This window comes from Homo sapiens, chromosome X (assembly GCF_000001405.40).
Source record: "Homo sapiens chromosome X, GRCh38.p14 Primary Assembly".
Classification (NCBI taxonomy): domain Eukaryota; kingdom Metazoa; phylum Chordata; class Mammalia; order Primates; family Hominidae; genus Homo; species Homo sapiens.
The window spans coordinates 51,658,584-51,669,497 of NC_000023.11; positions in this window are offsets into that span (position 1 = coordinate 51,658,584).

The window sequence follows — 10,914 nt, forward strand, 5'->3', positions numbered from 1 at the left end:
TGCAACCTCTGCCTCCTGGGTTCAAGTGATTCTCCTGCCTCAGCCTCCCAAGTAGCTGGGATTACAGGCGCCCGCCACCATGCCCAGATAATTTTTTGTATTTTTAGTAGAGACGGGGTTTCACCATGTTGGTCAGGCTGGTCTCAAACTCCTGACCTCGTGATCCTCCCGCCTCGGCCTCCCAAAGTGCTGGGATTACAGGCGTGAACCACCGTGCCCGGCCTCTATTTTTTAATATCTGTAGAATCTATGGTGATATCACACTTCTCATTCCTGATCTTGATAATTTTTGTCTTCTCTCTTACTTTCCTGATCAATCTGGCTAAAGATGAATCAATATTTTTATCTTCTCAAAAACCTAGCTTTTGGTTAAATGGTTTTCTCTATTGTTTTTCTATTATTTCATTGATTTCTTATCTGACTTTTGCTATTTTTTATTCTCCTTAAGCTGAGTTTTATTTGATTTTTTTTTTTTTTTTGATATGAAGTCTCACTCTGTTGCCCAGGCTGGAGTGCAGTGGTGTGCTCTCGGCTCATTGCAACCTCCACCTCCTGGGTTCAAGCACTTCTCCTGCCTCAGCCTCCCGAGTAGCTGGGATTACAGGCGCCTGCCACCATGCCTGGCTAATTTTTGTATTTTTAGTAGAGACGGGATTTCACCATGTTGGCCAGGCTAGTCTCGAACTCCTGACCTCAAGTGATCTGCCTGCCTCAGCCTCCCAAAGTGCTGGGATTACAGGCATCAGCCACCGCACCCAGCCTTTATTTGACCTTTATATTGCTTCTTAAGATGGAACTTGATGTTATTAGTTTGAGATTTTGTTTAAATAACATCGAGTGCTGTAAATTCTAATCTAAGTACTGCTCTAGCTGCATCCCAGAAATGTAAACATGTTTTGGATAAATTGTTATTCATTTCAAGATAATTTATGATTATCCTTTTGATTTGTTCTTGTGGCTCATGGGTTACTTAGAAGTATGATGTTTAGTTTTCAATGTAAATTTTCAGAATATCTTTTTGTTATTGATTTCTAATTCAATTCCATTTCAGTCAGAGAATATACTTTCTGCTATTTCAAAACTTTTTAATTTATTGAGACTTGTTTATGGCCTATTATTTAAACATTCCATATATGCTTGAGAATAACGTGTATTCTGTAGTTGTTTGGTTCAGCATTGTAAAAATGTCAATAGGTTAGTTTGGTTGAACCTGTTGTTCAAGTCTTCTATATCCTTACTGAATTTCTTTGCACTTGTTCTATCAGTTTTTTTGAGAGGAGGTGTTGACATCTCTATTATTATTGTGGACGTGTCTATGATTACGGTATAATCAATTAGTCAGTTCTTTATGTATTTTGAGTTCTGTTAATAAGTACATATTTAGAATTATTATATCCCCTTGAAGAATTGAGCTCTTTATCATGATGAAATGACTCTCCTTATCCCAGATAATATTCATTGCTCTGACATCTACTTTGTTTGAAATTAATATAGTCACTCCAGCATTATTTTGATGACTGATTGCATGATATACATTTTCCATCCTATTACTTTTAACCTTTTATATCATTTATAAATTAAGTGGATTTATGTAGGCATCATATTGTATTTCCTTTTTTTTAATCTTATGACAATCCCAGTCTTTTAATTGGGATATTTATATCATTTAATATGTAATGCTATTGATACGCTTTGGTTTAAGTCACCCATCTTGCTACTGGTTTTCTGTTGTTCGCATCTACTCTTTGTATTATACTCCTTTCTTATTTTTTAATTTGTACAAATATGTACAAAATAGTCTTATATATTTATGGGATACATGAGATATTTTGATATGGGCATGCAATGCATGATCATCACATAGTGGGAAATGGGGTGTCCAACCCCTCAAGCATTTACCCTTTGTGTTACAAACAATCCTTTTATACTCTTTTAACTATTTTTAAATGTACAATTAAATTATTATTGACTATAGTCACCCTCTTGTGCTATCAAATACTAGGTCTTATTCATTCTTCCTAACTACTTTTTTGTACCCACTAACAATTGCCACCTCCCCATGCCACCCTACTACCATTCACAGTCTCTGGTAGCCATCCTTCTACTCTCTGTCTCCATGAGGTCAATTGTTTTGATTTTCAGATCCCACAAATAAGTGAGGACATATGTTGTTTGTCTTTCTATGCCTGATTTATTTCATTTAATAAAATGACCTCTAGTTCCATTCATGTTGTTTCAAATGACAGAATCTCATTCTCTTTTATGGCTGAATAGTAGTTCATTGTGTATACGTACTCCATTTTCTTTATCTTTTCGTCTGTTGATGGACACTAAGGTTGCTTCCAAATCCTGGCTATTGTGAACAGTGCTTCAACAAAGTAGGAGTGCAGATAATCACTTTGATATATTGATATCTTATCTTTTGGGTATATATCCAGCAGTGGGATTGCTGGTTCATAAGGTAGCTCTATTTTTAGTTTTTTGAGGAACCTCCAAACTATTCTCCATAGTGGCTGTACTAATGTATATTCCAACCAACAGTGTACAAGGGTTCCCTTTGCTCTACATCCTTGCCAGCATCCATTATTTCCTGTGTTTTGAATAAAAGCCACTTTAACTAGGGTGAGATGATATCTCATTGTGGTTTTGATTTGCATTTCTCTGATGATCAGTGATGTTGAGCACCTTTTCCTATGCCTGTTTGCCATTTGCATGTCTTCTTTTGAGAAATGTCTATTCAGATCATTTGTCCATTTTTAGATTAGATTTTTTTCCTACAGATCTGTTTGAGCTCATTATATATTCTGGTTATTAATCCATTGTCAGATGGGTAATTTGCAAATATTATCTCCTATTCCATTCTGTGGGTTGGCTCTTCACTTTGTTGATTGTTTTCATTGCTGTACAGAAGCTTTCTAACTTGATGTCATCCCATTTGTTCATTTTTGCTTTGGTTGTCTGTGCTTATTGGGTATTATTCAAGAAATTTTTGCCCAGAGAAATGTCCTGGAGAGTTTCCCCAATGTTTTCTTGTAGTACTTTCATAGTTTGAGGTTTTAGATTTAAGCGTTTAATCCATTTTGATTATATTTTTGTATATGGCAAGAGATAGTGGTCTGGTGTCACTCTTCTGCATGTGAATATCCAGTTTTCCCTGCACCACTTATGGAAGAGACTGTCTTTTCCCCAGTGTATGTTCTTGGCATGTTTTTTGAAAATGAGTGCCCTGTAGCTGTGTGGATTGATTCTGGGTTCTCTGTACCAAAGAAGAACAAAGTTGGAGAACTAACACTATCCTACTTCAAGACTTATATAAAGATACAATAACCAAGACAGTGTGTTACTGGCAAAAGAATAGAAAAATAGATCAATGGAACAGAGTAGAGAGCCCACAAATAGACCCACCCTAATATAGTCAACTCGTCTTTCACAAAGGAGGAAAGGCAATTCAATGGGGAAATTATGATCTTTTCAACAAATGGTGCTCAAAACTGCACATCCACCTGGGGAAAAAATGAACCTATACACAGACATTATGCCTTTCACAAAAATTAGCTCCAAATGGATAGTAGACATAAATATAAAATGCAAACCTATAAAACTCTTAGAAGATAGCATAGAAGAAAATTTAGGTGACCTTGGCTTGGTGATGACTTAGATACAACACAAAAACACAGTTCATAAAAGGGAAAATTGCTAAGCTGGACTTCATTAAAATTAAAATGCTCTGTTCTGTAAAAAAAGATGCTGTTAAGATAATGAAAACACAAGTCAAAGACTGGGAATATATTTTTGCAATATAGTATCAAAGGGCTAGCATAAAAAATATACAAAGAATTCTTAAAACTCAACAATAAGAAAATAACAACATGATTGGAAAATTGTCAAAAGATCTGGAAAGGCTACATACTGTATGATTCCAACTATATGACATTCTGGAAAGAGCAAAACTGTAGAGACAGTGAAAAGACCAGTGCTTTCAAAGGATTCCCAGGGTGGGAAGAAGGGATGAATTGGTGGAATGTAGGTAATTTTTAGGGCAGTGAAATTGTTATTTCATGCGATAGTGTAAAGGTGAACAAATATCCTACTTTTGTCAAAAGCCATAGAAGATACAACACAAAGAGTCAACTCTAATGTAAACTATAGACTTTAGTTAACAATAATGTGTTAATATTGATTCATCAAGTGTACCATATTAATGTAAGTTATTAAAAATAAGGGAAATTGGGTGAGGGTAGAGATATATAGGAATTCTGTGTACTTTTTCTCATTTTTCTCTGTACACCTAAAACTTCTCCAAAAAATTAAATCTATTACTTTTAAAAAATATATGAAGTCATGGACTGGGAATATAAAACAATAATTTCCAAGATATTGGACATGAAGCAATGAAAGAGAGTAATCTGAGGAGATGAGAAACAAATTGAGTGACATGTATTTAAAAATTCTATTAAACATGCTCAATCTCTCCCTCAAGCTTCCCGAACATATGGAATAGTGATAATAACCATTTTAATATCCTTGTCTAGTAATTCTACCATTTGTGTCATTCTCAATTTGTTTCCATTGAATGCATTTTCTCTGCATTAACAGTTGTATTTTCCTGCTTGCTTTTATAGATAAGAACCATTTTATAGATAAGAAAACCGAGATCCCAAATGGTTTATTGACTTGTTTGACATTGGGCTCCCCATCTGTGTGCTCCTGCGGGATCCTGTACTTTGCCTACCTGTGCCCCTGTCACGTAGTGTTGAATGGAAAAAGCTATCTCTGTTTCTCACACAATACATTGAGAGATGTTAAGATCTAGAGAAAATAGGAACTTAATAGAACCAAGAGGCCTATATTCTTCTCTCCTCCTACCTTTTTGTAGCTATGAGACCTTATCTTCTCATATTGACCAGATATTGTTAATTCTGATTAGTTGAATAATAACTATTTTTATATGTCTGTAGTTTTCCTTTTTGTTCTCAGATGTGATTAAGAAATTTAGAAACTATTAATATTTTATAATTTCAGGTTTTATTTTTATGCTGGATTAGATATGAGCAGAGTGATGTTCACTCTGGGAATAATTTTCTTCCATTCCCAAAGCAAAGCCTTTTGAGTACATTGCTTGATGCTCTGTGAATTGTGAGCTTTTCCACTGTAGCTGGTGGGAGTCACATTCCCCACCCTGTGTGAGCTTAATTCTATTTAACCCTTTCAGATGGCTTTTTCCCTAACCTCTAGTAGTCTTATATGCAAACCTCTGTACCACTTACTTAAATACTCAAAGGGAAATCTCTACAAAGGTCCAAAGTTCTCGCTCTGTGCAGCTCTCTCCTCTCTAACACTCTGCCTTGAAAACTAGAGCCACCTTGACTCCCCTACAATGTACTCCGCACAGGGAGACCACCAAGCTCTGCCTGGGTTACCCTTTCCTACAGTAAACTGAGGCAGTCATGTTACTCAATTTGTTTTTGTTTCTCACCTCTTCAGATTACTCTTTCACTGCTTTATGTTCAATATCTTAGAAGTTTTCGTTTCATGTATGCTGCCTAGTTTATTTCATTGCTTCAGGGGGAAAGGTAAATCTGGTAGCCTTTTCTGCATCTTTACCAGAAATAGAATCTCATGAAACATAATTTTTAATATCCCATATTTAGCACGATCCTATTCAGACTAAGAAAAAGAAAATGGGAAAGAGAATCTTCATCAAAGATTTTCTAGAAAAGATTTTTGAATACCCAAGAAGTTATACTAAGTTAAGACGGTCACTCTTTTTCTATTGGACACTGTTGTACTTGCATGTGATCCTGAAACACTTTTTGTAGACATGCCAATCCTAACTGGGATATCTCTCTGATGCTGACAGCAAGCTCTCAGGGCCTTCTACAGGCAGGAATCTGCCACCTTGTAATGATGAGGGTTTATCTCAGAGACCATGTTGTCATAATTTGGCTTTCCCCAGTGGGTACCTTCAACTCCTTCGGGCTGTTGACAGTTCCTCCAATGTCCACTCGTGGGTGTGAAGTCAATGTTGGTTACATCTTTTACAGCCTGACCCATGAGAATAGATTTCATTCACTTCAAATCTATTATTATAAGTGAGAGACAGGAATGACATCAACCCCCCACCCCAACCTCACACCTCATGCTTGTTCCCCGTGCTTCCTACATTTGGAAGAGCATGAAGACTGCGATAGTGTCTCAGAGCCAAGTCTGAGAAACTGTGAAGGAATCTCGAAACTTGTGCCATTCAGAGAAAAACCTTGATCTCCTGGTCACGATGGGGGAGGGGAAAGATATTGGGGTAACTCACTGACAGATTTACTGCTGAGACCCAAGCAGAACCAATAAGGTCTAGATTTTTTTTGGTCCAAATATCTGGGTATAATAACATAAGTTACATTAGTAACAATATGTGACATTTGATGACAATTTGACACATCAGGGCATGGAGCTCTGTATTCTTCCAGCACTTCACTTAAAATACTCAATAAATTAAAAGATATGTAGTTCTATAACCATTTTATAGATAAGGAAACCGAGACCCCAAATGGTTTATTGACTTGTTTGACAATGGACTCCCCATCTGTGTGCTCCTGCTGGATCCTGTACTTTGCCTACCTGTGCCCCGTCACGTAGTGTTGAATGGAAAAAGCTATCTCTGTTTCTCACACAGTATATTGGGAGATGTTAGGATCTAGAGAAAATAGGAACTTAATAGAACCAAGAGGCCTATATTCTTCTCTCCTCCTACCTTTTTGTAGCTATGAGACCTTATCTTCTGAATTGCTTTTTTACTTAGTTTTAATGTCAAGGAAACGTGGGGGACGGCTCCTGAGATAGTGGTTCTCAAAGTACTGCCTACACCTCAAGCTGTGTACAGTTGAGACAAAAGCTGCCTTTGAATTTTTGCTCTAACAGCAACAGTAAAAATAAAAAGAGCTCACATGCAGTATTATTTTTTAAAGGTGCATTGCCTCATTTAAGCCTCACAGAGACAATGAGTGCACGTTTTTAAACACGTTACAAATTCAGATAACAATAAGTGACAGATTTGAGGCACAAATCAAAGTAAATGAATGTCAGTTCAAAGCCTCTTTCTTCAAAATAAGTGTTTCCCAAACTGAAATGTGAGGATCATAGTAATTCTGTAAATTTAAACCCGGGATAAAGTATAAAGTTTATTTTTAAAAAGCATGTTGGTACCCTGTTGTAGTAGTTTCAGTCATCTTGAGGCTCTCTAGATAGCTATGCCTTCAGATATAAAATGTAATTTGCTTTAAAAACTATTTTTTAAAATGGCTGACTTCTCCCTAGATTTGGCAAAACAAAACAAAACAAAACATATAAGTATAGATTCAAGGAAATAAGTGAACCCCAAATTTGGTAATCCAAAGTAATCCATGCTAAAGCACATGATATTTAAACTTCTGAAACCTCAAGACAAAAAAAAATCAAGAAACAAAGCACACAAATATGATACATTACTTATAGGGGAACATAAATTCTAGTGACGGCAGATTTCTCTTTCAAAGCATGGAGGAAAGAAGGAAGTGACATGACATTTGTTCGTGTTCTTGAAGAATAAGTTGACAAGTGCAAATTTCGTATCTGGAGATATTATCTTTCAGAAATGAAAGGAGAATAACGACATACTCAGAACAAGAAAAACTAAGATACCGTGTCACTGGCAGACCTACACTTAAAGAATGGCTAAAAGAAGCTCTTAAAAAAGAAAGAAAGGCATAACTGAAAAAAGCTGGAAACATAAGAAAGGAAAAAAGAAAAAAATGAATAAATGGAAATAGGATTAAATAATATAAGCTACACTTCTCTTCATGAGCTTCTTTGATCATGCTTGACGGTTCAAGCAAAAATTATAACATTTGTTTTAGTGTTCAATCCGTGTCAGAAAGTACTTGAGACAATTATATTTTTAAAGCTAGGAAAGTGTACAGACCTAAATGGAACTTTCTATACTTCATGCAAAAGCATAAAATATCAATACCTATAGATGGTGGTTAAATATATATATCTAGAGTAGTTACTTAAAAAAAAAGATTCAAAGTGATATACCTAAACGTATTATAAAGAAATGGAAGGGGAATTCTTTTTTTTTTTTTTTTTTTTTTTTTGAGATGGAGTCTGGCTCTGTTGCCCAGGCTGGAGTGCAGTGGCGCGATCTCGGCTCACTACTACAACCTCCACCTCCCGGGTTCAAGCGATTCCGGAAGGGGAATTCTAAAACGTTTCCAAGTAACTGCATCTCCAAAAAAAAAAAAAGGTCTGTAAAACTCATAAACCTTGGGTGAGACTTATGAAGATAAAAGGAGTAAGACACAAATTGGTAATATCAAGAATCAATACTGGGAGGCACATCGCTAGAGACCTTCATGCCAATAAATTGAAAATTTAGAAGTGGACAAACCAGGCAAGCTGGCTCATGCCTGTACTCCCACCACTTTGGGAGGCCGAGGCTGGTGGATCATGAGGTCAGGAGTTCAAGACCAGCCTGGCCAAGATGGTGAAACTCCGTTTCTACTAAAAATACAAAAATTAGCTGATTAGCTGAGTGTGGTGGCGGGCACCTGTAATCCCATCTACTATGGAGGCTGAGGCAGGAGAATCACTTGAACCCTGGAGGCGGAGGATGCAGTGAGCTGACATCATGCCACTGCACTCCAGCCTGAGCCACAGAGCAAGATTCGTCTGAAAAAAAAAGAAAAGAAAAGAAAAAAAAAAAGAAGTGGACAAACAGTAAAATACTTAAAATACTGAAAACTTAAAATACTGAAACCTGAGAGAATACGTTAAAACATGATTTCATCTGTAAATGCGAAATAAATGCAATCAGTAATTAAATACTTTTGACAAAAAAATCTCTAGTTCCAGATGGTTCATAAATGAGTTCTGTCAATGCTTAATGTGAGAGATCACTCCAATACTGCACAACTTTTTCAGAGAATAGAGCTAGCGAGTACACTACCCCTTGTGTTTTACCAAGTGAACCTTGACACAGAAACTAGATAAGGATAATTTAAGAATGGCAAATTTCAAAGCAATCTGTCTCAGAAACATACGTGAAAATATCACATGCAAGGTACTTGTTTAAAAAGCTAGCAATATCTTTTTATTTTTAGTTTTAGTTTTTTTTTTTTTTTTTGAGATGGAGTTTCCCTCATGTTACCTAGGCTGAAGTGCAATGGCACGAACTTGGCTCACTGCAACCTCTGCCTCTCAGGTTCAAGCAATTCTCTTGCCTCAGCCTCGCAAGTAGCTGGGATTACAGGCGTGCGCCACCATGCTGGGTTAATTTTTGTATTTTTAGTAGAGAAGGGGTTTCACCATGATGGTCAGGCTAGTCTCAAACTCCTGACCTCAGGTGATTTGCCCTCCTTGGCCTCCCAAAGTGCTGGGATCACAGGCGAGAGGCGCCTGGCCTCTAGCAATTTTATTTTAAAAGATACTATAAAAGTATAAAAATTTTTGAAAAAAAAGATAGTACATGACGTGATTTGGATGTCTGTGCCCACTGAAGTCTCATGTTCAATTCTAATCCATTGTGTGAAGATGGGGCCTGGTGGGAGGTGACTGGATTGTGGGGACCGAGTTCTCATAAATGGTGTAGCACCATCCCCTTGGTGCTTTTCTCCTGATAGTGAGTTATCAGGAGACCTGGTCCTTTAAGTGTGTAGCACCACCTCCTAATCTGTCTTCCTCCTGCTCCAGCCTTGTATAGAGGTGCCTGCTTCCTCTTGGCCTTGGGACATGATTGTAAGTTTTCTGAGGCGTCCCCAGAAACAGAAGCCCCTATGCTTCTTGTGCAGCCTGTAAAACCATGAGCCAGTTAAACCTCTTTCTTTTATAAATTACCCAGTCTCAGGTATTTCTTTATAGCAGTGTGAGAACAGACTAATACGCTATATTATGACCAAGTTATATTTATTCTAGCAAAGCAAGGTTGGTTTAACATTAGAAAAGAAATGAATGTAATTCACCACTTGAACAGATTAAAGGGAAGAACTAAACTAAATGTGACCACCTCAATAGATACAAGAAAATAATTTGGTAAAAGTCATCATTCATTCATGATGAAACAACCTGTGGAAAAGACGGAATCTATGAGCCTCTCCGAGAGAGTTTCAGATGCAGTGTTGCAGTTGACAGTCTTTGGAGGTATGTCACAACACCGGAATTCCTACTAGGAAGAGGTAATAAGTTTAAGTGCATGAAGACTAGAAGAAGATACTGCAAGCTAAATCCACCTAAAGTAAAGATAAAATTCAAGAAGCAAAGTTGAAAAGTGCTTGCCAATCATATCGCAGACAAAGGGTGGATTTCCCTAATAAGTAAATACCATCAGTGGATTCATTTTTTGAAAAAAGGAACTAAGCCTACTCTATTGTCATTGATAACGCTAGCTGCTGTAACAGATGAACTCCAACCTCTTAGTGGCCTAACACTATGAACATTTTTCTTGCCTACATTTTTCCAAAAGGAAACAGGACTGGGGAGGGTTGGCTCTTCTTTTTGAAAACAATCTAGGACCAGGCTGACAGAAGCTCTGCCATCTTCAACACCTGGCTCTATAAGTCGCTCTGGGTGTCAACATCTTTCCAGCAGATGGGGAAGAAAGAGTAGGAGGATCTCATAGGAGGTTTTTATGAATCATGCTTGGGAGAATTGCCACTCGGGCCCACCATCCATTGCCCAGGCCTCAGTCCACCAGCCACAGTTACCTGCCAGGAGGCTGGGAAACCCCAGGAGGAAAAGAAAACAGGTCTGGAGGACAGCTAGTCAGTCTCTGTATATGTATGCCTGAACAGTTCACAGAAAGAAAAACACAAAAAGCTCCCAAATGTATATAAAACTTCCCAGCCTCACTCCTAATAAGAGAAATGGGTTTCTGAAGCACAATAA